Source organism: Homo sapiens, chromosome 17 (genome assembly GCF_000001405.40).
Source record: "Homo sapiens chromosome 17, GRCh38.p14 Primary Assembly".
In the NCBI taxonomy this organism is placed as follows: Eukaryota; Metazoa; Chordata; class Mammalia; order Primates; family Hominidae; genus Homo; species Homo sapiens.
Window position 1 is genome coordinate 67,523,079 of NC_000017.11, and position 27,555 is coordinate 67,550,633.

The 27,555-nt window shown below is 44.7% G+C and overlaps 1 protein-coding gene across 3 annotated transcripts in view, besides 5 other annotated features; it reads left to right on the forward strand.

The window, feature by feature from the left end:
* Positions 1–27,555, forward strand: part of PITPNC1 (phosphatidylinositol transfer protein cytoplasmic 1) — a 319,976-nt gene that overhangs the window by 145,798 nt on the left and 146,623 nt on the right. For all 3 annotated transcript variants that reach the window (NM_181671.3, NM_012417.4, XM_047435746.1), the window contains exon 2: positions 9,724–9,872. In NM_181671.3, coding sequence (NP_858057.1) covers positions 9,724–9,872 — 149 coding nt within the window. The remainder of the gene's footprint in view (positions 1–9,723; positions 9,873–27,555) is intronic.
* Positions 5,995–6,289: an enhancer, noted in NCBI's record as "tiled region #6638; HepG2 Activating DNase unmatched - State 1:Tss". NCBI's record gives its function as "activates a minimal TATA promoter and a strong SV40 promoter by Sharpr-MPRA in HepG2 cells {active_cell/tissue: HepG2}" and the evidence as "EXISTENCE:reporter gene assay evidence [ECO:0000049][PMID:27701403]".
* Positions 5,995–6,289: a silencer, noted in NCBI's record as "tiled region #6638; K562 Repressive non-DNase unmatched - State 20:ReprD". NCBI's record gives its function as "represses a minimal TATA promoter and a strong SV40 promoter by Sharpr-MPRA in K562 cells {active_cell/tissue: K562}" and the evidence as "EXISTENCE:reporter gene assay evidence [ECO:0000049][PMID:27701403]".
* Positions 6,635–7,287: an enhancer, noted in NCBI's record as "H3K27ac-H3K4me1 hESC enhancer chr17:65525829-65526481 (GRCh37/hg19 assembly coordinates)". NCBI's record gives its function as "activates a minimal SCP1, AML or CMV promoter by ChIP-STARR-seq in naive H9 embryonic stem cells {active_cell/tissue: H9 hESC(naive)}" and the evidence as "EXISTENCE:reporter gene assay evidence [ECO:0000049][PMID:30033119]".
* Positions 16,139–16,640: an enhancer, noted in NCBI's record as "H3K4me1 hESC enhancer chr17:65535333-65535834 (GRCh37/hg19 assembly coordinates)". NCBI's record gives its function as "activates a minimal SCP1, AML or CMV promoter by ChIP-STARR-seq in naive H9 embryonic stem cells {active_cell/tissue: H9 hESC(naive)}" and the evidence as "EXISTENCE:reporter gene assay evidence [ECO:0000049][PMID:30033119]".
* Positions 16,641–17,140: an enhancer, noted in NCBI's record as "H3K4me1 hESC enhancer chr17:65535835-65536334 (GRCh37/hg19 assembly coordinates)". NCBI's record gives its function as "activates a minimal SCP1, AML or CMV promoter by ChIP-STARR-seq in naive H9 embryonic stem cells {active_cell/tissue: H9 hESC(naive)}" and the evidence as "EXISTENCE:reporter gene assay evidence [ECO:0000049][PMID:30033119]".

The window sequence follows — 27,555 nt, forward strand, 5'->3', positions numbered from 1 at the left end:
AAACGCTGTACCCTAAACACTCCATTACCCACTCTTTCCAGTCCCTGGCAGCTACCATTCGACTTTCTGTCTCTACGAACTTGACACTTCTAGCTGCCTCGTCTAAGTGGAAATTCTCAAGCTTTTTATAATACTTATGGGAAGTAGTCAATCTGACTACCGTCTAATGAAATTTTTACATAAGGAAAAGATAGTTTTGAGCAGATGGTCAGATTTCCTTTGGTTTTGGCATTGTACAAGTATATGGCAGATGCCTCATTCTCTTATACTTTCTGGAACCCGCAGCATAACAGGGATATGAATGAAACAGATCTGCAAGTCACAGTCAGACATGTGGCCAACTAGAAGGAGCAGTGGTGAGGGCAGTTGGTGTACAGGTTTATTATACAATTTATGAAGCATTTTAATTTTTAAGTTTTTTTTTTTTTCTCACTTGATTCTCACCATGTCTTGCGAGGTATTCTATTAGTTCCATTTTAATGATAATAAACTGTGGCTCAGAGAAGTAAATCGTCTAAGGTTACAAAGCTAGTCAATGGTAGAATCAGGACGCTGGCTTCACATTTTCATTTTTAAAACCCCAGTGCTTTCCATCACAGCCCACTGTGAACAATTATCACGTCTCTGGAGGCCCAGGTAATAGCCAGTCCTCAGGAAGGGAGGGCCTCTCCAAATGCAACCCTAATTACTAGTGCTCCACCTCACCAGCTCAGAAATACATGGAAACCGTTTTTTTTTTTTTTTTTTTTTTTAATTGAGACAGAGTCTCTGTCACCAGGCTGGAGCACAGTGGTGCAATCTCTGCTCACTGCAACCTCCGCCTCCCGGGTTCAAGTGATTCTCCTGCCTCAGCCTCCTGAGTACCTGGGATTACAGGTGCCTGCCACCACGCCCGGCTAATTTTTGTATTTTTAGTAGAGATGGGGTTTCACCATCTTGGCCAGGCTAGTCTTGAACTCCTGACCTCGTGATCCACCCTCCTCGGCCTCCCAAAGTGCTGGGATTGCAGGCGTGAGCCACTGCGCCCAGCCTAAATTTTCTAATAGCCACATTTTAAAAAGTGTGTAGAAAGAAACACATAGGCTGGCTCATGGTAGCTTACACCTATAATCCCAAAACTTTGTGAGGCTGTGGCGGGAGGATGGCTTGAGGCTAGGAATTTGAGGCCAGCCTGGGCAACATAGCAAGATACCATCTCTACAGAAAAAATACAAAACTTAGCTGGACGTGGTGGTGCCTGCCTGTAGTCCCAGTGACTCAAGAGGCTGAGGTGGAAGGATCGCTTGAGCACTGGGGGTCAAGGCTGCAATGAGCTACGGTCATACCTCTGCACTCCAGCCTGGATGACAGAGCGAGACCCTGTCTCTAAAAAAATAAGAAAGAAAAGGAAAAAAAAAGGCAAGTGAAGTTAATTTTAAAAATATATTTTAGTTAACCCAGTATACAAAAATATCATTTCAATCAACATAAAAATTATTAATGAACTATTTTGCTTTTTTTTGTAGTAAGTCTTCCAAATCTAGTGTGCATTTTAGACTTAAACAGCACTCCCAAGTCAGACGCTAAATTTTCATTGGCAGTACTTGATCTTTATTTAGATTTCATAAAATTCCCAGTTGAAAAAGTAGATTCACATACCCAAAGTGTTTCAAACATATATGAAGGTTTTCTTTTTTTTTTTTTTTTTTTTTTTTTTTTTTTTGAGACGGAGTCTCGCTCTGTCGCCCAGGCCGGACTGCGGACTGCAGTGGCGCAATCTCGGCTCACTGCAAGCTCCGCTTCCCGGGTTCACGCCATTCTCCTGCCTCAGCCTCCCGAGTAGCTGGGACTACAGGCGCCCGCCACCGCGCCCGGCTAATTTTTTGTATTTTTAGTAGAGACGGGGTTTCACCTTGTTAGCCAGGATGGTCTCGATCTCCTGACCTCATGATCCACCCGCCTCGGCCTCCCAAAGTGCTGGGATTACAGGCATGAGCCACCGCGCCCGGCCGAAGGTTTTCTAATAACTGAATCAAGCACCAGTCTTAAATTTAAATGAATTAAAATGAAAGAAAATTTAAAATTCAATCCCTCTATTCCATGGGCCACACTTCAAAGGCTCAGTGGCCACACATAGCAAATAGCTTTGGTCCTGGGCAGAACAGATCTAGATGAACAGCTGAGGGTGGCCCAGACTGGACCCAGCCGTGGAATAGAACAACGGTCTGCAAACTTATTTCTATAAAGGGCCAGATAATAAATATTTTCAGCCTTGGGGGTTACACAGTCTCTCAAAGTATTCAACTCTGCCATTGTAAATGAAAGCAGCCATAGAATGAATGAGCATCGCTGTGTTCCAATAAAACTTTATTTACAAAGCAGGCATCAGCCTGCATGCTTTGCCAACCATTAGACTAGAACATTTGTCCTAGGGCCTTAGCTGTGCTGTGGGATTACCAGAAAAAGAGACAGCTCTCACCTCTAGCTTTCTGAGATGAGGTTGTCAAAATCTGGACTCACTGGATCTCCTTTCCTGTGTGTAATTAGAATTTTGACACCACTTGGCATGAAGCAACGGTGGGCCAGAGTTCTGCGTCATTTATCCTTCAGGTGCTCTCTGCAGTGGATGGTTTGTGCCTCCTGAAGCAATTGCTTCCCTGTGCTTTGAGGTCCAGCAGAGGTAACAGCGGAGAAAGCTGGAAGAAAGGCTTCAACAAAAGCATTAATGGTGATGTGAAGAATGCAGGAAACTCCCAAGAAAGCCAAATGATATCACTCTCTGCTTTTCCAACATAGCCAGTGTGAGGCAGGAATCACACACGTTTCACAGCTGGGTAAATATGTGATTTCACGTGAAATCAGAGGGACAGGTGTTTCTCTGTGCTTGTTAGGTGATATGGCGTCCGCCCATTTTGATGGTAAAGGCCAAAGTAAATATAAATTCTGTTTCCTGACCTGGGGCCTTGAGGTCCCCAGGCGGGGATTACCACCACCCAATTTGGGAATCTACGTTGCAAAGCCATGGTTCCCGCTGTTCACATTGTGACGTTTGGAAATGGTATTGGGACTAATGGAGGGAAAGAAAGAGGACAGGAAGGGAGGGCATAGAGATTGGTTGGTAGGAAGATGACCCCCACTAGGTGCTTTAGGGTAGGGGGTTATGGAGGCTGGCTTTGCAGAAACTCTGGGACGCAGCAGTTGGGGAAGGGTGAAGTGAAAATCAGTGATAGCTTAGAGCTCTGCTGACCCTAGAACTTTGGATCCAGTATTTCTTCAGGCATGGATGATGTTGAAGGTATTGTTGGCACTCATTTGATAATCCCTTACTGTACTCAGAAGTTTTGGCTTGGGGTTGCCTTTTTAATTCAAGGTTCAAGATTAAATGACTTGGCTGGGTGTGGTGGCTCATGCCTATAATCCCAGCACTTTGGGAGGCTGAGGCGGGAGGATCACCTGAGGTCAGGAGTTCGAGATCAGCCTGGCCAACCTGGTGAAACCCCGTTTCTACTAAAAAAATAACAAAACTTAGCCAGGCATGGTGGTGTGTGCCTGTAATCCCAGCTACTTGGGAGGCTGAGGCAGGAGAATTCCTTGAACCTGGGGGGCAGAGGTTGCAGTGAGCCAAGATTGCACCATTGCACTCCACCTGGGCGACAGAGAGCGAGACTCCATCTCAAAAAAAAAAAAAAAGTTAAATGACTGGATGGTGCCCCATGTAAGAGTTTGCAAAAGTTCAAACTAGTGAAACTGCTGAGCTTCTTCAGTACATTATGCAACTCTGCCTTGCCTCCAATTTTGCAGCTCTATCAAGTGTACAGCGTGGTGTGTGGGGAAAGATCTGCATCCCATGATGTTTTTGACTATGGAGGTAATTATTTGGAGTAGCTGTTCTGATGATAACTCACGGAGGTTCAGTCTGCAGCATGGAACTGTCTCTAGTCATGATTGCCTGTAATGATGATTACCCAAACTCTGGAATTATAACAATAGATTTTACAAAGTTAGAGCATAATTGCTCCACCATTCCTTACATGTGCACAGATTAAACAACTTTGATCTTTCAATCAGATTTTTGTTACTCATCTTCTGCAATAGCAAAGGTCAGAGGCAGTAGCTTTCTGCCACCTCCCTCCCCTCTTTTTAAATCATCACGAGGCCTAGATTTTTAAAGCATTTAACTTGGTAAAGAAATAAGGGCTGAAGTTGTGTGGACTAGAATGAGTACAGGCCTGTGGGGGGTCAGAATCCCAATTCTGACATCTAGAAACTCTGTAACATACAGTCTTCAACCTGTCTGCAACTCAGCTTCCTCGTCTGTCAATACTCACTTGTCTGAATCATTGAGAGATTAGAATGAACATAGGCGGCCGGGTGTAATGGCTCATGCCTGTAATCCCAGCACTTTGGGAGGCCGAGGCGGATGGATCATGAGGTCAGGAGTTCGAGACCAGCCTGGCCAACATGGCGAAACCCCGTCTCTACTAAAAATACAAAAATTAGCTGGGTGTGGTGGTGGGCGCCTGTAACCTCAGCTACTGAGGAGGCTGAGCAGAGAATTTCTTAAACCCAGGAGGTGGAGGTTGCAGTGAGCTGATATCTCGCCACTGCACTCCAGCCTGGGAGACAGAGCGAGACTCCATCTCAAAAACAAAAAAAAGGAATATAGGCTGGGTGCAGTGGCTCACGCCTGTAATCCCAGCACTTTAGGAGGCCAAAGTGGGAGAATTGCTTAAGGCCAGGAGTTGGAGACTAACATAATGAGACCATGTCTGTACAAAAGTAAAAAAATAAAAATTAACTGGGTGTGGTGGCACACTTCTGTAGTCCCAGCTACTCAAGGGGCTGAGGCAGGAGGATTGCTTGAGCCCAGGAAGTCGAGGCTGAGGTGAGCCATGATCATGCCACTGAACTCTAGCCTGGGTGACAGAGTAAGACCCTGCTGCTTTTAATTTTTTAAATTATTTATTTTATTTACTTAGTTTGTTTTTGTTTTTGTTTTTTTGAGACAAAGGCTCCCTCTGTAGCCCAGGCTGGAGTGCAGTGGCGTGATGTCGGCTCACTGCAACCTCCACTTCCTGGGTTCAAGTGATTCTCCTGTCTCTGCCTCCCGATTAGCTGGGATTACAGGCGTGCACCACCACATCCGGCTAATTTTTGTATTTTTAGTAGAGACGGGGTTTTGCCATGTTGGCCAGGCTGGTCTTGAACCCCTGACCTCAGGTGATCCGCCTGCCTCGGCCTCCCAAAGTGCTGGAATTACAGGCATGAGCCGCTGCGCCCAGCCAGACCCTGTCTCTTTTAAAAGAAAGGCAAAAGAAATATAAAGCACTTAATCAGTGCCTTGCACTAATGGGCAATCAATAAAGTGATGCTGTATCATCATCATCAATTCTACGATCAATTCTCAGGCTTTGGAGGCTTTAGAATCTTTCTATGTCTTTGGATGTTGTGGCCTTTATTCAACATACAAGTTTGTTTGGAGCTGGTGGTCAGGGATATGGTATTTTCACTAAGTTAGGGATGGAGCTTTGTAAGAAATCAGTATAAAGGAGGAAAAAAGAAACAAGCGTCCTAAAGACAGAACATTTACAGCTGAGCAAGTGCTGATGGCTGCCTTCACCACGTTCTGCTGCAGCGGTTCTCAGCATTTATGTGCATTTCTGAAAGATTCCCACTCTTTTCTCCCCAGAGTCTGAATGGAGAAGGTCTGGAACAACCTGAGATTCAGCATTTTTAGGAGTGTCTCTGGAGATTTTGAAACACGTGGTTCAAGGACTCTCTGTCTCTTCTCCCTCCCCCAAACGAGAAACTGCTGCTTGTGTCTGAGAGTCAATACGAGATTTAAAAACAGCAACAAAACCACTGCTCCTGGAATGGCCCAGTTCCCATGGCCACGACCAGCAAAGTGGGCCTGATTTCCTTAGGAGGGGAAGAAGTGACGGCTGCAGAGCCCTTGACCATCTCGGTGTCTGGGCTCGAGTGTCCCGCCACCCCCAGCGTCTGCAGGTCACCCCCACACTGACGCCGTCTCAGTGAGCTAATGCCAGTGTCTGCCCCGCGCCGGCTCATTCAGCAGCCACTGGAATGATCAATGAGGCCGGCCGCCCAGCCCTCCACCGGCTGTTGGTGAATCAGCTGCCTCGGCCATTCCCATCTCCACTGAGCAGGAAGCACTCGAGCTGAGCCCAGCCAGGGCTGACTGGCGTCTGGCTAATGGCTTTTCTGTGTCATGCACTGACCTTGATCCCATATGTTTTTCATACGTGAGTGGGTTGGAGTGCCTGAAGATGGTCCAGTGGTGGAAATAGCTCTTCTGCCAAGCCCCTTACCGAGGTCCTGGGCAGTACTTTGGTTTAGAGGTGTCTGCTTCTGAAGCAGGATCGGTGCTTTTGTTTAAATTGAGGTGAAATTCACATAACATAAAATCAACCAGGTTAAAGGGAACAATCAGTGGCATCTAGTGCATTCTCAACGTTGTGCAAAACCACCTCTATCCAAAAACACTTCCATCGCTCCAGAAGGAACCCCTGCACCTGTTGCATGAGTTGACTAGGGCTGCTGTAACAAAGTGCCACAAACTGGGTGGCTTCAACAACAGAAATTTGGGGCCAGGAGCAAGTGGCTCATGCCTGTAATCCCAGCACTTTGGGAGGCTGAGGTGGGTGGATCATTTGAGGTCAGGAGTTCAAGACCAGCCTGGCCAACATGGTGAAACCCCGTCTCTACTAAAAATATAAAAATTAGTCGGGTCGTAGCGGCGTGCGCCTGTAATCCCAGCTGCTTGGGAGGCTGAGGCAGGAGAATCACTTGAGCCTGGTAGGCGGAGGTTGTGGTGAGCCAAGATCGCACCACTGCACTCCAGTCTGGGCGACAGAATGATACCCTGTCTCAAAACAAACAAACAAACAGAAATTTACTGTCTCACAATTCTGGAGGCTAGAAGTTTGAAATCAAAGTGTCAGCAGGCTTGGTTCCTTCTGGAGGCTGTGGGGTGAGGGAAGGATCCGGTTCGGACCTCAACCCTTGGCTTTTTTTTTTTTTTTTTTTTTTTTGAGATGGGGTCTCGCTCTGTCATCCAGACTAGAGAGCAGTGGTGTGATCTCTGCTCACTGCAAGCTCCGCCTCCTGGGTTCACGCCATTCTCCTGCCTCAGACTTCCAAGTAGCTGGACCACAGGCACCCGCCACCACACCTGGCTAATTTTTTTGTATTTTCAGTAGAGGTGGGGATTCACCGTGATCGCCAGGATGGTCTCTATCTCCTGACCTTGTGATCTGCCCACCTCAGCCTCCCAAAGTGCTGGGATTGCAGGCGTGAGCCACTGTGCCTGACCAACCCTTGGCTTTATAGATGGCCATTTTTCTCTCCACATCATCTTCCTCTATGCCTGCCTGTGTCCCTGTCTAAGTTTCCCTTTATTATAAGGACACCAGGCATTTTGGATAAGGGCCTACCCTAATGACCTCATTGTAACATGATTACTTCTGTAAAGACCCTATCTCCAAATAAGGTCACATTCTGGGTTACTAGGGGTCAGGACTTCACAGTATGTATTTTGCGGGGACACAATTCAACCTTTAACAACATTAGGCAGTATCAGTACTTTGTTCCATTCTATGGCTGAATAATATCCCATTGCATGTAAACATTTATTTTTTGAGCCCCAAGTACAAAGCAACTGTCAGTGAAATCTCCACCCCCTGGGTAGTGTGTGCCCATCTGTATAAGGTGGCATATTGATCTCACAGGTAGAGCTCACAAATCTGCAATGTGTAAACTTTTTCTTATTGTCTTCCTCCTTGAAAGAGTGTTAGCCTTTACGAGCAAAAGTCAAAGCAGTACTGGACTAAGGGAAGAGAAGTCAAGCTTCTGATCCTAAAATTAATTTTAAAAATTGATTTCAGGCTGGGCACTGTGGCTCATGCCTGTAATCCCAGCACTTTGAGAGGCTGAAATGGGCAAATTGCTTGAGCCCAGGAGTTCAAGACCAGCCTGGGCAACATGGTGAGACCCTGTCTCTACAAAAAATACAAAAATTAGCTGGGCGTGCTGGTGCGCACCTGTAGTCCCAGCTGCTCAAGAGGCTGAAGTGGGAGGATTGCTTGAGCCTGGGAGGCGGAGGTTGCAATGATCTGAGATCACACCACTGTAGTCCCGCCCGTGTGACAGAGTGAGACCCTGTCTCAAACAAACAAAAAAAAGAGGATTTCATCTTTAAATTTTATTTTTCCTTTTCCTGGTCTTATCCCCAGTGCTGCCCACTTCCTGCAAGCACAGGTGCACACACACAGGTACGTGCACACATACGCTCACGTTAAAAGCGTTTTCATGTGACCGTTCTGGAGAGGGGCGTGGCACAGATAGGAGACACAGTCCTTCGAGAAGACCCAGACGGCAGCTTGCTTCCATTGTCATGGTTACTGGGCTCGGTCCCCAGGGCTGGCTGCAGACCAGAGCCTTTCAGAGCTTCTTCACACTCCCGTCCCTGCTCCTGCCTCAGAATGAAAGAGAAACCTTCGGGCACATGTGTCTTCTCAGCTGTGAAACTAACTGCACTGTTGACTTGTGCATTTCATCTGCCCCCTTAATTTAAAATCTATTTCTGTCTCTTATGCAGACAGACAGGGGACCCGCATCCCTGCAGATTGTTGGGGAATAACCCCGAGTCCTCATTAGTTTGTTGCAGACTCAGGCCCCACTCCCCCATCCCAGAGGCGTCGGTGGTAATGACCCAGGGTCTGTCTCTAGGAAGGATGGCAGCAGGGTCGCATCGTCCTGCGTCCTGACTCTGAGCAGGGTTGTACCTCATGCAAAAGTTGTTTAATTTCCTCCTTCCTCTCTCCCCCTCCCCTCTCTCTTTTCCATCAAATTCGTTTTGCCACTTCGAAAGTCCACTGGGGGAAGAAATGCCTGCTGGTCCCAGGGTTTTCAGAGAGGCAGGAAGGCAGATGGAACAGCTCATACATGAAAAAAGGACAGAAAATGTTCATATAGTATGTTGCTCCACATGATTATTTTAGGGTAAGACAGGTGACTTTTGGGTCCTTGGACTGGAAGGCTCCACACTCTTCATGGAATTGGATGAAAAGGAGTTAAAAGTACTGTAGGTGGTCCTCGGAGAGGAGCGGCCTTCAGGGGCTCAGATTATGAGCCTTGGCTCCACTCATGGGGGAGCCGGGGCCTCTGGAGCTTTGAAAAGCTTTCAGGTGATTCTAATATCCAGCCACCTTTGAGAACCATTGTTCTAGGGGACAGAGGCCTCCAGGAGAGTTGAGCATTTTGAGAGAGGGAGGATAGAAGAAATAGATGATATCTAATGCTCCCTGTTCAGCAATTTTGCTAATTAGGCAGAAAGCAGGGGCAGAAATCACACACCCTCGGCTGTCTTGGGCCAAACCAAGCAGGACTTTAGCTCCATTTAACCCTGTAGAATGCAAAGGGAGACTCCAGTGTCCCCCTTCCCAAGGTTTGGTCAGCTGCCAAAGCTTACAGACTGCCAGCCACCCGGCCGAGCATTTGCCAAGGTGATGTAAAATATTCACGGGAACACGCCGTCTCGATGTTCTACTCACAACTGGTTCTCTCCCTAGCTCCCGAGGAAAAGTAACATGAGGCCCATGTGGCTGCCTTCTCTTCTCAGCAGAAGGTGCTGATGTTATTAGTGGCTTGCCAAGCTATGGTTGGAGGGGGATGTCAGGGGCACGCTGTGGGGCTGACCTTTCTGTCTCTGACTCTGTTTTGTAGTACAAAATTGGACAGCTGTACATGATCAGCAAACACAGCCATGAACAGAGTGACCGGGGAGAAGGGGTGGAGGTCGTCCAGAATGAGCCCTTTGAGGACCCTCACCATGGCAATGGGCAGTTCACCGAGAAGCGGGTGTATCTCAACAGGTGAGTCATGGCAGCCTGCGTTCTGCACAGAAGCCCCCTCCCACCTGACCCCATGGTGTGACAGTGGAGGCAGTGGGTGTCTGGGATGAAAAGGTCACTTGGAAAGTAACTACGTCCACCGTCTACGACCACCAATCTCATTGTTTTTGAAAACAGAATCTGCCCGAGCGAGGTGGCTCATGCCTGTAATCCCAATGTTTTTAGGAGGCCAAGGTGGGAGGATGGCTTGAGGCCAGGAGTTTGAGGCTACAGTGAGCTATACTCACAGTACTGCACTCCAGCCTGGGGTGACAGAGCAAGACCCTGACTGTAAAAAATATTACTACATAAAATAAAATAAACGAAATGAATCTCCCCCTCCCCACCTTGCATTCTGCAAAATCGTCCTCAACTGCGTTTCCATTAAGAGGAGCTTTCGGCTCATCTTTCCCACGGCTTTGATGACGTGTTACAGCGAAATGTGATCTTAAGAATTCAAGAGCCTGGAAGGTGGAGGCTGCAGTGAGCCATGATCATGCCACTGCTCTCCAGCCTGGCCAACAGAGTGAGGCCCTTGAAAAAAAGAGAATTAAAGGACTTTGTCTCATCCCTTGGTTCAGTGTTAGCTGTAGGAAAGAGACGGTGCTGCCTATATGCTGTGGACAAGTAAGTGCTGGAGGTGGCAATGCACCTTTTGGTCTCAGTAAGATTTTCATTTACTACTGGTGACCACTTGGGTGTCCGAAAAGGGAATGACAAAACAAACAGTCACCTGTGACCAAAGTGGTTAAGATGGCTTCCACTTCTCAAGTGGACCCATCCTTCCCAAGGTGGAGGTTGTCACTCTCCTTTTGGAAGGGAAACACATCAAGGATGACAAAATAGCACTAGTCAAGCGTGCCGTTTCTGCTTTGCAAAATATATTCTTTAATCTCTTGCTTTTTTCTTTTTCTTTTCTTTTCTTTCTTTTTTTGTTTTTTTTAAAGACAGAGTCTCACTCTATTGCCCAGACGGGAGTGTAATGGCATGATCTCTGCTCACTGCAACCTCCGCCTCCTGGGTTCAAGTGATACTCCTGCTTCAGCCTCCCGAGTAGCTGGGATTACAGGTATCTACCACCACTCCTGGCTAATTTTTGTATTTTTAGTAGAGACGGGATTCCACCATGTTGGCCAGGCTGATCTTGAACTCCTGACCTCAAGTGATCTGCCTGCTTCAGCCTCTCAAAGTGCTGGGATTACGGGCATGAGCCACCACACCCGGCCTTTCTTGCTATTTTCTTACTATGAATGGCGTAATGGATTATTAGGGCTTGTCTGATCTTCTCCCCATCCTATACTCCTATCCAGCCCATTTCTTCCTTTCAGTTCCTTTCTGAAACCTTCGGAATATTTGTGGTTAGATGCCATATGAAATATATCTTATTGGCAAAGTGTGGTGGCTCACACCTATAATCCCAGCACTTTGGGAGGCTGAAGGTGGTAGATCACTTTAGGTCAGGAGTTCAAAACCAGCCTGGGTAACATGGCGAAACCCCATCTCTACTAAAAATGCAAAAATTAGCTGGGCATGGTGGTGCGCACCTACAGCCCCAGCTACTTGGAAGGCTGAGGTGGGAGGATCGCTTGAGCCTGGGAGGTTGAGGGCTGCAGTGAGCTGAGATCATGCCACTGTACTCCAGCTTGGGTGACACAGTGAGACCTTGTCTCAAAAAAAAAGAAAAGAAAAGAAAAGAAAAGAATAAAGAAAAAAAAGAAATATATTTTATTGAAATTAACTGTCCATTCCAGCAAACAAGTCTTACGTCAGCCATTTCATGAATACTTTTACCCCTACCTGTGGCCTCTCCGATTGGCCCATATGTGATTATCCAGAAAGTATTTCCAACACCCTAGCTGGGCAGTGCCCCAGTTTATTCACTGACACCAGTGACTGTCCATTCTCAGGGCCTCGGACGTGGTTAGACATCTCTGAGAGGAACCATATTTAGATTCCCATTCTCGCCTTGACCCCACTCCCCAGCAGCTTGAATTGGACTATTCCTTCTTGATGGGAGACTTTGCTTCCTGTCACTAGGGTGGATGGAATTCTCCCAGACCCGTGTCCTGACAGTGAAGGGCATGAGCTGATTAAACTGATGTTTTAATTTGCCCAGAGATGCAGTACCAGGGAATTCCTGAGTCATGATGAAATGCAAATGAGATTGATCCCATTCATCTATTAGTAGCTGTGAATTCCCAGGCTTTGGAACCAGTTCAGTGTCCAGCCAGCTGTTGATTTGCAGGGGCAGCTGAGCTCTGGGTCTGTCCTGAGCATGGCTTTTTTACAGAGACAGGTTTCTCAACATGCTGCTTTGGCATTCTTAGCGTGGAGGGTGTAAATCAAATACTGAGCAAGTTTCTCCTCGGGGATCACCTCTGCAGGGCAAAGAGAAGTGAGGAAGATGCCAGAAAATAGAAACCTATGGAAAATTCCATTTCTTGGCATACAATTGCATTCTCTCAAGTTATTACCTGGAGAATGTTCCTTATATATGAAAATCAGGAAGAATTTTAGGAACTTTGTAAGTTTTGCTGAAACACAATAAGAGGCATCCAGCTCTCCCTGTCATGTCTGTTTTGTCATATCATATTTATATCATATTTATTTAAAAGAAGAGTAATAAACATTAGTAAGAGGGAAATTTGTTATAAATAGATGTGGACTTCCAGTAATAGTAAGGAAAAAGATTAATGGGGACCCTCCACCACTTCCCATGACAAACACAGGATGAAATATAACTATGTAAAGAAGCTGAGCTCAAAACAAAGAAAGGGAAATCCTCCGAGGCTAGAAATAAACAGGCAAACTGAAACCAGAGTGGAAAGCAGACCCGTTAATGCTAAGGAAGGGCATCGGGGGGACATCAGAACAGAGTGTGGGTTCTGACATCTAGGGACTGGGCATGTCATGCCCATGGGGAACAGGAATTAGGGCCTCAGGCCCACATAAATGGAAAGTTGGAACTGAGAATAGGATATAAAAATAATTTTTGACAATCAAGGTCTGAGAGAGTTTACTAACTCTGAGACTCATATTGAAAGAACTACTAAAGGATGTGCTGTAAGAAAGAGGAAACTGAGCCCAGGAAGGAGAGGGAGTTCTAGAAGTAATAATAATGAAGAAATTGATAAACAACTAGGTAAATCTTTGAATGGATGTAGGATGTTTTAAAAACAGTAATAATAAGACAACAATCAATAACACAGAAGATGGGAGGGTAATAATTACAGTAAAAAGCACTTTAAGGTGCTAATATTGTTTAGGAATTAGAAAAAAATATTGATTAATTTTAGATTTTCTGTTTTTCTTTTTTTGAGACAGCCAGCTCCGTCACCCAGGCTGGAGTGCAGTGGTGCAATCTCGTGCCTTAGCCTCCCGAGTAGCTGGGACTACAAGTGTGCACCACCACAATGCCCGACTAATTTTTGTATTTTTAGTAGAGACAGAGTTTCACCATGTTGGCCAGGCTGGTCTTGAACTCCTGACCTCAAATGATCCACCAGCCTCGGCCTCCCAAAGTGCCGGGATTACAGGCATGAGCCACCGTGCCCAGCCTAATTTTAGATTTTCTAAGACAAGTATGCATATTCAAAATATAAAGGTAATCTCTGAAGAGGTGGTAAAACAATCCATAACCTCCAAGAGAAAACTTGATCAATCCACAGAGGGCCTGGGAACACAAAAGAGAAGCCTACAAAAAGCATGATAAATAGAAAACACAAATTTGGATGGTAAAATAAAATGAAATGTCAGATACTCACTTTTCTAGCCACCCTCGCAGCTAGAGATGGCCATGTGGACCTAGTTCTGGCCAATGAGACATGAGATTTTTCCTCCTTGATAAAAAGAGGGACGTTCAAGGAGCTATCTATGCTATTCAAAGAGAATCTGTTCTGATGTCTCCCCACTTCATGATTTGTGTGTAAGAAAGTGGGGAGGATGGGGGCTGACTGCTGGAAGGAACACTAATAGTGCCTACCAAGTGAACCTTGATAACAACACTGGATAATAACCATACCAAAAAGACACTTATAGGCCAATCTCAGTTGAGAACATAGACATGAAAATACTATATAAAACATTAGCGAATAAAATACCTCAGAGAAAAATGTATCATGACCTAATCAGATTTACCCCTGAAATTGATGAAATTAACATTTAATAAATCTGTGTACTTATTCAGAGTAAAGTCAGGAACACATTAAGGATGCTTGTTATTACCATGTCTATCCAACATTATGTAAAGGCCTAGCCAATGCAATAAAACAAGAGAGAAATAAAGAGGAAAGGAAGAAACAAAATGATCATTTGCAGATAATATGATTGTCTGATAGAAATTTCAGACATTTCTACAGCTGTTAACATCAATATGAGAATTCAGCAAGATTGTTGGGTACAATCCATATAGAAAAATCCACAGCATTATTATACAGCAGGAAAAATAATAGCGAAAATATAATTTAAAAAATTTTTTGTTTATAATAGAAAAAGAAACAAAGTTACCCAGTAATCAGTCTATAAGATATACAAAATCATTTTGGAGAAAAACATAAAACATTTGTGGAAGACGTTTTAAAAGCCCTAGACAAATAGTGAAACATACCATATTCATGGACGGGAAATGTTACAAAGTTGGCATCAAATCTCAAATCAATCTATAAATTTAATAAAAATCTAACTTAAAATGCCAACATGTTGTTTTTTAAAAAATAGAACTGGTGCTGGGTGCAGTGGCTCACCTCTATAATCCTAGTTCTTTGGGAGGTCGAGGTGGGCGATCATGAGGTCAGGAGATTGAGACCATCCTGGCTAATATGGTGGAACCCCGTCTCTACTAAAAATACAAAAAAATTAGCCAGGCATGGTGGCGGGTGCCTGTAATCCCAGCTACTCTGGAGGCTGAGGCAGGAGAATCACTTGAACCCGCTAGGTGGTGGTTGCAGTGACCCAAGATCGCGCCAGTGCACTCCAGCCTGGGCGACTGAGCGAGACTCCATCTCAAAAAGAAAAAAAAAAAAGAACTGGAGGAGATATTTGTAAAATTCATATGAACAATTTGGAAAGTTGAAGGAGGGGCTTGACCTACTAGATATCATTATAAAGCTAATTCAGTAATTACATAAGTAATTAAGGCAGTGGGGTACTAGAGCAGAGTTAAACTCATGGAACAAAGTAGCCCCCAGACAGATCCAAGCCATTATTAGTGCTTTGTATTTAATAGAGCTGGCATAAGAAATTATTGAGGGGAAGATGAACTCTTCGGTATATGATGTTGAGATGACTGGGCTTCTAATTGGAAGAATGACTAGAGCCCTCCTTCACACTACACACACAAATAAACTCCATGGCTGGGCGTGGTGGCTCATGCCTGTAATCCCAACAATTTGAGAGGCCAAGGAGGGAGGATCGATTGAGCCTAGGAGTTCAAGACCAGACTGGGCAACCTGACGAAACCGCATCTCCACAAAAAATACAAAAATTAGCCAGGTGTGGTGGCACACAGCTGTGGTCCCAGCTGTTCAGGAGGCTGAAGTGGGAGGATTGTTTGAGCCCTAGAGGTGGAGGTTGCAATGAGCCAAGATCGTGCCACTGCACTCCAGCCTGGGCAACAGAGCAAGACCCTGTCTCTAAATAAATAAATAAATAGATAGATAAATTCCAGATTGATTAAAAACCTAAATGTGAAAAAATCAGAAGAAAATATATGTAAATAGCTATATTATTTGGAGAGTAGACTAGAACTAATTAAATAAAAAATAAATAAATGGAATCATTAATATTACAACACTAAAATGAAGAGCCTTTGCATAGCAAAAGACACACACATAAAAAGTAAAAAACAAAAACAAAAAAAACCTTTGCATAGTGAAAGACACCAAAATTAAAAGAACCATCCCTGCCTGGAGGTAAGTATTTCAAAATGCACATATAGACCAAGACCAAGGACTAGTATTTAATTTAAAAAAAAAAGAAAAACTCTTATAGATCCTTTTTTTTTAATTTGAAAAAAAAGACAATAATCCAATCAAAAGATGGGCAAAGGATTGAACATGCAATTCAGAAAAGAGGAAATGAGAATGGCTAATATAAACATGAAAAAAATTCCCACCTTATTGGAAAACACAAAATAAAAAAGCAATAGCATCCTCTTTTACACACATCAGATAGACAAAAATTTTAAAAATCTGATAATGCCAGGTGTTCACAAAGATATGTGAAAATAACTCACTTCCAATGCTAGTAAGAGATATAAACTGATACCACCTCTTTAGAGAGCAATGGACAGCAACTGGAAAAGTTGAAAACATATATACATTCCACTTAACAATTATATTTCTAGGTAGAGCCCTAGAAAAATTCTTGCACTGTACACAAGGAGACATTTACCAGGAGATTAGTCCTAATGCTGTATGCAATAGAAAAGAAATGGAAGCGATTCAAGTATCTGTGAATGGGAATACATTATGGCACATTCACGTAATGGAAAATTCCACAGCAGTTCAACTTAATGAACTAGACATACTTTGATAAATTTCAAATGCACATCGTAACGTGCAATATATCAGCTGCAAAAAACAAAAACAAGTCCCGGCACGATGGCTCACGCCTGTAATCCCAGCACTTTGGGAGGCCGAGGCGGGTGGATCACGAGGTCAGGAGATCGAGACCATCCTGGCTAACACGGTGAAACCCCGTCTCTACTAAAAATATTAAAAATTGGCCGGGCGTGGTGGCGGGCACCTGGAGTCCCAGCTACTCGGGAGGCTGAGGCAGGAGAATGGCGTGAACCCGGGAGGTGGAGGTTGCCGTGAGCCGAGATCGCGCCACTGCACTCGAGCCTGGGTGACAGAACGAGACGCCGTCTCAAACAAACAAACAAACAAATGTATATATACACATATAGTATGATGCCATTTATATCTACTATTAAGATATACAATATGCATAATATTACTACATTTATATATATTGTTTACAGACAACCGCATATGTAATAAAAGCACCAAAACATGGAGAAACCACCCTCAGGTTGTGGTTACCTTTGAGGAGGGAGAGGAATGAGTTGGCATGAGAGGAAACTTTACCTGTATCTACTACATTTTATTTTATTTTATTTTATTTTATTTTATTTTATTTTATTTATTTTTTCGAGATGGAGTCTTGCTCTGTCACCCAGGCTGGAGTGCAGTGGCATGATCTTGGCTCATTGCAATCTCTGCCTTCCGGGCTCAAGAGATACTCGTGCCTCAGCCTCCTGAGTAGCTGGGATTACAGGCACATGCTCCCACGCCTGGCTAATTTGTGTATGTTTTAGTAGAGACGGTGTTTCACCATGTTGGGCAGGCTGGTTTCTAACTCCTTACCTCAAATGATCCTCCCACCTTGGCCTCCCAAAGTGCTGGGATTACAGGTGTGAGCCATCGCACCTGGCCTATTCCTTTTTTTAAAAGAAGAAAGTTCATCACAAATATGGGGAAATGTTAGTTTGTTAAATCTGAATGGTAATGTTAAAATTCAGAAGTGTACACCAACAATGGTCTATTTTACTGTAATTTAAAAATAAAATCGAAAATATAAATTCTGGGTGGCAGATACATGCATGTCTGTTACCTTTCTCTCGATTTTTTATATATTTTTTATGTAAGTGAAATTCTCCACAATTAAACATAATATTTTAAAAGTAAATTAGGTGGAGAAATGAAACCTGGTTACTGTCAAAACTGGATGGATTAGTGACTGATTGAATAACAAAAGGTACAGATGATGGATAGTGGCAACCAAGAGAGAAAATTCTATGTGTAACTTAAAAATAATGTGATTTAGTAATGTGACTCAGAAGTCTGAATTTGGTCCTATTGGATTTTTTAAGCCAACATCTGGCTAAATATCTAGAAGATATCCTTTCCATACCCTTGAGAAACCCACAGCCAGGAAGGATGATAACTCTAAAAGACTGAGTGAGGGCTGGACGCAATGGCTCACACCTGTAATTCGAGCACTTTGGGAGGCTGAGGCAGATGGATCACTTGAGGTCAGGAGTTCGAGACCAGCCTGGCCAACATGGTGAAACCCTGCCTGCTAAAAATGCAAAAATTCGCCAGGAGCGGTGTCAGACGCCTGTAATCCCAGCTACTCGGGAGGCTGAGCCGTGAAAATCACTTGAGCCTGGGAGGCAGATGTTGCAGAGAGCCAAGACTGCACCACTGCACTCCAGCCCGGGTGACGGAGTCAGACTCCATCTCAAAAAATAATAATAAAAATAAAAATAAATAAAATAAAAGACTGAGTGAGGATCCAGAAAAACTTCAGTAGTTTGGAATTACAGGCCATTTTCTATCAAGATGAAATTAAATAGGGGCAAGTATATGGTCTTATCTTTGGATCCCAAAATACAAATTATATAAGTATGGGATGAAACACTGATAACTTTGCAATGGCCTGTTTGAAAGAAATACAGTGGGTTTAGTTGACAATTCAATATGAAGCAATTATACATACACACACACACACACACACACAATAATTTAGTGTGTGTGTAATAGATTATACAGCTGCAAAAATTATTCTTCAACTGAATCAATAAAAGTAACGTAAAATATCTAAAACCATGTACTTGATAATCTTGCCCAATTTTCCACTAGTCAGAACATACTTGGAATATTTTTATCTGTTCCTAAATGGCACACTTTAAAATGGATATAGACAAACTATATCTAGAAACTCAAGTGATAGAAAGAATGACTGAAGAAACCAAGGATATTTAACCCGGAAAAGCTAGACTTGAGTGTATCATGGTGCCATTAGATGGAGAAGACTCAGAACTGTGTATGCCACAAGACCTCACTTAGCAGGACCAATGGGACCAAGACCAGTGGGTAGGAATGCCAGGAGAAAGACTTCGGCTCAGGTTAAGGAAGAAATTTCCAAGCACACAAACCATCTCAGAATGCCTTATAGTGGATTTTGCTATTGCTGGAGGTGTTTCAGCAAGAGTGAGACCCTGTTCATCAGGGTGTCCTGAAGCAGATTCAAATATCTAATAGGCGGTTGAACATATTGGGTGGCTGGTTAAGTTGGACAGCCTGGAAGATCCTTTTCAACCCTAACTTTCTACACTCAAACTATCTATCAGTCATTGATTGTCCTGATTCTCCTCCAGCATACATATGTAACCAATGAGGCACAAGAAAAGAAGTATTTTTAGTTATGCTTGCACCATTCTAAACCAGGTCCACCATTTCATAATTTTAAAAAGTTCTTGGGCGTATTTGGTAGAGTATGGATGCATATTTTGGAACCAGGGAGATTATGAGTTAGCAAGAGAGAAAGAAAAAAATTGACAGAATATGAATTAATTAGATAAATCCCCATCATCATAAAAGAAAACCAAATCCATTGTTTAATCATCACAACGTAGAGCCACCTCAAGGTGACTCAAGTCCTCCATGCATAAGTCATGTGACTGCCTTGTGGGTTGGGCTGCTTCAGAGTCATAATTCATTAAACGAGTATTTGCTGAAATGTACGACGTACAACACATTGTGCAGGCATTGGAGAGAATCCCTTAAGAAATAAGCCATGGTCATGGTTCTTGCCTCCTGATCAAGGTAGGGTCCAAGGCATTTTCATAAGTCCACAGGGCAGTGGGTCCTGATTGTTGGACCGGCCGTAACTAAGATGTTCCCAGTGCCCATTTAATAATGTACACAGACAATTATCATTGACCTATGGACCTGAACGCATGAGCCGGCATAGTGAGTGGATTCTCTTCCTTACATCAATCTGTATGGGAAGTCAAACCACATTCAGAAACTGCCTTATTGATTACCTAAAGTAATTATTAGAGGCACTGGAAATATTCAAAGCCTGTGTAATCACAGCCTACTCTCCAGTTAATGTGGAAATGAGAAAGTTGCTCAAAGGGGAGTTAGAGTCCACAATAATTATTATCACTAAGCAAAGATAGTGTAAACATCCATCTATCGACCACTGGTGTGCTTTGGCTGGTGGTTATGTTGTCTGTGGGGGATGAGTGGCAGACAGGCCAAAAAGGAGGCGTGAGGCTTTAGCAGTTAAGGTCCACAGTTGCCAGCAAGAGAAACTGAGTCTCTTGAGCAGAAAGGACATTTCATGGAAAGATGTTAGGAGCCCTCAGGATCATCTGGAGGCTTAAGAGTGGGCAGAAATCAACAGCCCCATGATGACAGCCATCTTTAAGTAGAGCCAGATGGCGTCATTCTGCCCTCATCACCCCCTACCTCTGCTGCCTGCAGCCATCAGCACCGCAGCTGCCCTGAGTAGATCTGAATTGTCCTGTTTTTCTTTCCACCACTTGTTCCAAAATCCCAAACACAAGTGTCCCATTGGGTTCCCAGACCAAGCCCTGGGCTACCAGTGAATGGGAGAAAGGAACTGCTAAACCGTTTTCCAAAGTGGCTGCACTGTTTTATATTCCCACCAGGAATGCAATAGGGCTCCAATTTCTCCACATAATCACTGACGCTTGCTATTGTTGTCTTTTTGATGATAGCCATCCTAGTGGGTGTGAAGTGGTATCTCGCTGTAGTTTTCATTTGCTTTTCTCTAGTGACTAATGTTGACCGTCTCTTCATGTGTTCATTGGCCATTTGTATATCTTCTTTGGAGAAATGTCTATTCCTTTGCCAATTTTTTAATTGGGTCCAATGTCCGTTGAAAATGCCATTTATCCTTTTAATACATGCCTCTCATTTCCCAGAGATTGTGGGGTTGCTTCATCTTCTGGCCCCCTCCTACAGCATCTGACATACTGTTGATATATAGTACATTATGATGGTTGCCTAATATATTTGGTATATGAGTACTAATGCATTAGTACATTTACATTAGTACTAATACAATAATACATTGGGTAATTAAGAGGGAATCTCGCTCTGTCACCCAGGCAGGAGTGCGGTGCTGTAATCTTGGCTCACTGCAACCTCCGCCTCCCAGGTTCAAGCGATTCTCCCGCCTCAGCCTCCTGAGTAGCTGGGATTATAGACACCTGCTACCACGCCGGGCTAATTTTTGTGTTTTTAGTAGAGACGGGGTTTTGCCATGTTGGCCAGGCTGGTCTCGAACTCCTGACCTCAGGTGATCCGCCCACCTTGGCCTCCCAAAGTGCTGGGATTACAGGCATGAGCCACCACACCCGGCGTGTGCTTGGGCTTTTGATCCAGTTCAGTTAACCAAGTAAGTAGTATGCCTTGACACGTCTTCAAAAATCCTGGTTACAACTGGCATCCAAGGAATGGGGGCATGATACTAATCAAATTCTAGAATAGTGATTCTAAATAAAACCTGTCACCCAGAAACATATGAAGGTGGACTTTTCTTTTGTCACCTTTTCTTTTCACTTCGTCGCTAGCATCTCTCGGATCCCTTCCCACTGAAGCCCAGGAGGGGAGGGAATGGGGGTGGGGGTGGAGGGGCACTGGAGAAAAGATGGAGGCTATTTTTAGGCTTGTTTTTCAACCATGAAGTGTCATGTTCTTCACCACCCTGGCTGCTGGATTAATTAGGCTGTGCTGGCAGCTGCCAGTCAGGGAGGGTTGCCAGCTTCTAACGGTGATTCCGCCTAATGCCTGAATTGATTTTCAGGGAGAGAACATTTTTCCCGCTACATGGCCCTTGCCTTCCACGGCAATGTCTCCTGGCCTCTGATGGCTTTGGGTAGGAGAGGATAAAGCTTTCATAAGTCATGAACTCTTTTTTAACTGATGGGCTTGCAAAGCTACCAGCTGGTCCTTTTACCTAACAGCTTGTTGATAGAACCTTGTGGTCATGGCTTGGGTCTCTCTTTCCCATTTCTGCTTCCTGTTCTCCCAGATCTTCCCCAAAATAAGCTCAGTGCCCAGAACTTGTGTGGCTTTGGGATATTCCACTGCCCGGGCAACAGGCAATAGAGACAGCATCAGAGACATAGACTCTGACCAAATAGCTCATTTTCATGCTATTTTTCCAAGAATCTCTATGGTGATTGTTAACTTCTAGATATACAAAGACAATATTTAGTCATTAAAAAAATACTTATTGAGGCCGGGTGTGGTGGTTCACGCCTGTAATCCCAGCACTTTGGGAGGCTGAGGCAGGAGGATCCCTTGAGGCCAGGAGTTCGAGACAAGCCTGGGCAACATAGTGGGACTCTGTCTCTACAAAAACTTTAAGATATAGGCAGGCGTGGTAGCACACTCTTGTAGTCCTAGCTACTCAGGAGGCTGAGGCAGGAGGACTGCTTGAGCCCAAGGGTTCAGGGTTGCAGTGAGCTATGATGGCACCGCTGCACTCCAGCCTGGGTGACAAAGTGAGACCCTGCTTCTAAAATATGGGTCTCCCAGCACTTTGGGAGGCCAAGCAGGCAGATCACTTGAGGTCAGGCGTTTGAGACCAGCCTGGCCAACAAGGTGAAACCCTAGCTCTACTAAAAATACAAAAATTAACCAGGTGTGGTGGCATGCCTGTAGTCCCAGCTACTCTGGAGGCTGAGGCATGAGAATTGCTTGAACCCAGGAGGTGGAGGTTGCAGCGAGCTGAGATTGCATCACTGCATTCCAGCCTGGGTGACAGAGCAAGACTCTGTCTCAAAATAAATAACATAAAATATGGGTCTCTCTATCCATTTATTCATTTATTTTTATTTTTTTACCAAAATATATAAGCTGCTGCCCATGCTATGTTTGAAAGATGGCTCCTTATCTAGTAATAGCTGGTCAAGTTACTTGACTATGTGAATATTAGACTGTATACATAGTCTATACATATATATATACACACACATACACAGACGGAGAGACAGAAACACCTGCTGGGCATCACACACCGTTCTAGGTGCTGGGGTTGCAATAGTGAACAGAGCAAACATCCCTGCCCTGGTGGGACTTGCATTCCACTCGGGAGTGACAGTGCACAATAGCCATAATAAAGAACAGTATATTGGCCAGGTGCGGTGGCTCACCCCTATAATCCCAGCACTTTGGGAGCCCGAGGTGGGTGGATCAAGACCATCCTGGCTAACATGATGAAACGCCATCTCTAGGAAAAATACAAAAAATTAACCGGGAGTGGTGTCCCGCGCCTGTAGTCCCAGCTACTCGGGAGGCTGAGGCAGGAGAATCACTTGAACCTGGGAGGTGGAGGTCATGCCACTGCACTCCAGCCTGGGTGACAAAGTGAGACTCCATCTCAAAAACAAAAACAAAAACAAAAACAAAAACAAAACAGTATATCGTCTAGAATATATACTTTTATATAGTCTGTATACTTATGTATATTACATATTATTTATATAGGGAGACTATATATGTATATATATATATATATATATTTAGAAGGTGATAAGTGTTATGGAAAATAATAGAGCACATGGGGTGCTTCCTTCCAACCTTTCAGTCCATGCTATCCTATTCTGTCCCCATCTGAGTACTTAAGGACTTGTGAGGGACTCTCATGCTACCGGGCCCCTCTTCCCTGTGCTCCTGTAGGAACTCATAGAAACAGAATGTTTAGGCCTGGTTGGGATCTCAGAGGTTTTCCAGGAGGCTTTCCACCTGGGTTCTGCCTCACTGCTGATGGATGATGGTGTGTCCTGTGTCGCCTTGCCAGGGGCTTCTCAGCACACTGTCCACATAACCCTGATGCTGTCCAAGCTGAGCCTTCCAGGAACCTGCAGGAGGCAGGCTCCTTTTCCCAGAATCCTGACACAAACTGTCTTGTTAAGCAGGGAGGTCGGGGGTGGGGCCCGTGAGTCCAAGTTCAAGGAACTTGGTTTCTGGCCAGTCCCTGCCGGGGAGGCCCCGGCAGCCTTGCCTCCCACAGCTGATAACTCTGGTCCCGAAACTGCTCACTTCCCTACTGCCATATAAACAATTACATTAAGAGCACAAGTAAAAGACCAGCCAGAACAATCACTTAGAAGAGTAACTAAATGAATCAGAGCAGCTGGAGAAGATATTTTAAGACCCCAGAAATCACTGCACATAGAACTGGATGGGGGCAATTGATTATGAATCAAACAGATGTCAATTGCCAGTTTTAGTACAAGAAGGAAACAAAAGGTCAGTATATTCCTCCTGGACTATCTTGTGAGAAATGAGGATATGAAGGTAGCAGAGTTCTATTTAAAATGAGCTGCAGTCATTTCAGCATAATCTCAGTGCAGAACATGGCAGGTTTTAGGTACGCTGTTGAGAAGAAAATTCCAGGACTGTCTTTTCTGCTGGGAATGTTCAAGTTCTGGTAAAGGCCAGGTGCACTGGCTCATGCCTGTAATCCCAGCATTTCAGGAGGCCGAGATGGGAGGATTGCTTGAGCCCAGGAGTTTGATTCCAGTCTGGGCAACATAGTGAGACCCCATCTCTACCAGAAAATTTAAAAATTAGCTGGGTGTGGTGGTGCATGCCTTTAGTCGCAACTACCAGGGAGGCCAAGGCAGGAGGATCACTTAAGCCCAGGAAGTCAAGGCTGCAGTGAGATACGATCATGCCACTGTACTCCAGCCTGGGCAACAGAGCGAGACCCTGTCTCAAAAGAGAAAAAGAACAAAATAAAATTTCTAGTTAAGACCACCGTAATTCTGACCCCTGTTGAGAAAATGAAATTAGACTCTATTTAGACACGTTTGGCCTAATGATGTTCAAAACCTCCTGGAGCCAAAGCCCAAGTGAGCATACATTGCAATGTGAGATCAGGTACCAGGGGGAGTTTTGAATTTTGTGATCATAGGGATCGTAAAGTACCAGAAGCTTCTAATGGAGGGATGATTTAGGTTCTGCTCCAGAAGCTCTTTATGAAGTAGGTAAACACCCATAACCTGAGACCAGTTCAGATTATGCCTGCCCCTGAACCTTCTTATTAAATCAGTTGTGATTTCGGGAACCTTGGGGAATTTATGACATGAGAGATGATCTGCCAGGGTTCAAAACCTTGTTGCTGCTGATGCTTTGGGCTGGATCTTTATTTGCTGTGGTGGTGGGGGGCGGCTATCCTGTGCATCATAGGAGGCTGAGCCGCACCCTGGGCCTCTCTCTGCTCAGTAGATGCCAGTAGCACTGCCCACCCCACCTCGCCTCTGTTGAGACAACCGAAAATGTCCAGACATTGCCAGGTGTCTCCTGCAGGAGGCAAAATCTCCCTCTAGTGAGAACTCCTGTTCTAGGGTGACCAACCATCCCAGTTTGCCTGGAACTGAGGGATTTTCTGGCAGGTGGGACTTTCAGTGTTAAAACCAGGGAAGTCCCAGGCAAACCAGATGAGTTGTCCACTTGGCTGTGTCATTGATATGTTCTATTTTATACCAACGTTTAAAAGTAAGAACCCGGGCTGGCCATGGTAGCTCATGCCTGTAATCCCAACACTTTGGGAGGCCAAGGCGGGTGGATCACTTGAGGTCAAGAGTTCGAGACCAGCCTGGCCAACATGGTGAAACTTTGTCTCTACTAAAAATACAAAAATAAGCCTGGCGTGGTGGCATGCACCTGTAATCCCAGCTACATGGTAGGCTGAGGCTGGAGAATCGCTTGGACCTGGGAGATGGAGGTTGCAGTGAGCCGAGATTGTGCCACTGCCCTCCAGCCTGGGCGACAGAGCAAGCCTCTGTCTCAAATAAATAAATAAAGTGAGTAAGAAACCAAAGCTTTTGAAAAGTCTGTCTTTGGGAGGCATTGACAAGGCATCTGGGGGAATATGATGCTGCTTGTGGTATCATTTTGCCCCTCTTTTTCCTCAATGTCTCTAAAGCCTGAGCCCTGGTGAGATGGGCCATTGGAGGTTTGATCCTAGCCCATAGACCAAGGAGACTCGATTCAAACTTGCTGCCTTTCTAATAGAGAGGCTCTTGTTTGACACTTAGAGTGAGCATGAGTGACAGACTTTTTCTTGGAATTGTAGGCTGTGTGACAGTATACATCATGAAAGTGACAGCAACAGTGGGGACTAATTTAATTCCATTTTCCTTTGCAGGCCCTGATAAATCATTGCTGCAGGGAAAAATAAATTTTACTTTCTCAGACAAATGATTGGAATAATGATGTGCTGTGAGGAAATCGGGGGCTGAGAGAAGATCTGTTGGTGGGCTTAAAAGTATTTAAATAGCGCATCATGGAACTTGTTGCAAATACCTCTCGCGTCTGGCCTGGAAAATACCAGAAGGAACCTCCTTTCCAGACTGATTAGAAGAGTTCAGGCCGGGCGCGGTGGTTCATGCCAGTAATCCCAGCACTTTAGGAGGCCGAGGCGGGCGGATCACCTGAGGTCAGGAGTTCAAGACCAGCCTGGTCAACATGGCGAAACCCTGTCTCTATAGCTTGAACCCAGGAGACGGAGGTTGCAGTGAGCCAAGATTGCGCCACTGCACTCTCGTGTGGGGATAGAGCGAGACGTCTCCCAAAAAAGGAAGAAGAGTTCCATAAAATATCAGCTATCTTGACTAAATGATCGTGGTTTTTTAGGCCATCTCAATGGAAAAGGTCATTGATTATCGTGCTGCATATCCTATATAAGTTGGTGGCTGAAACAGCTAAAATAGATTCTAGAATCTGGGGTCCTGAGGGACCATTTACAAATAGAAAAAGTCTCGACTTGGATGGAAAATTGCCAATAATTTTCACCTCCCTTCCAGAAAATGACTGTGGCTCAGGAGTATAGTTCTGCTGGGAGGCTTTTAAATTGCTATAGGAAATGAATTACGGGGCGAGGAGGTACTTGGGCCCCGGACTACTACTATGCATGAGGATTGGAGTGAATTTGAGGAGGGGTGCAATGTAGATGGAACCCCTGCCCACAAGAGGACAGTGGAGAAGGGGCTTTAATACCGTAGGGAGACATATGCGCTTTGTCTAAGCTAAACAATGCCTGGCTTACGTGAGGGAGATTCTCCAACCCTGAGTCAGTCCATTAAAAGCACAAGAAAATCACCTGCCTGCAACCAGAATCCACATCTTCCCACACTACCATTGGCATATTGCGCTAGGGTGTGGGGGCAAACAGGAAGGAACCAGGGGAAGTTTTGCTCATGACCATTTCCTGCACGCGAGCCAGTGTAATTTTCCCACTGTCAGCGTCACCTGAGTTGCACTCCAACTTCGGTGATGGATGGAATACATCATCAGCGAAAGCTATAAAAACCCCATCCTTTTGAGCAGCGTGAACGTAAGGGAAATGAGCAGTTACTGCAGAGAGGATTTTATAGGAGTGAAAAATTCTGCATCAGAGCAGCAAGAAGGATTGTTATGTGAATGATCAAACTGCTTCTGCTGACTCCTCAGAGCCCGCCTAAGAGCAGGGGCCTTCATCTGACACTCACTCCACTTCCGGGGAACTTTGCTTTCCTATTTGTTTTAACCCTGATTAACAGCGCAGAGCTATGGGTTAGGTCCGGCCAGCCACTGAGAGTCCATCTTTGTGTTTTCAAAAGCCAGGCCTGGTTACTGTCAGAAATAAGAGAAACAACTGGAAAAGACAGGCAAGGTACGCAGTATTTTACGGGCTCTGATTGTCATTTAGATTTCGCATCCAAGAGGGGTTTGAGACTTGGGGTTCTGTTAGCTCCATGTCCCTTCCAGCCTCCTGGTTCTATCAGCTTGGAATTCAAAACCGCTTCTTGATGTTTCTTATTTCCAACATGTAGCTAAGTTGCTGAGAGTAT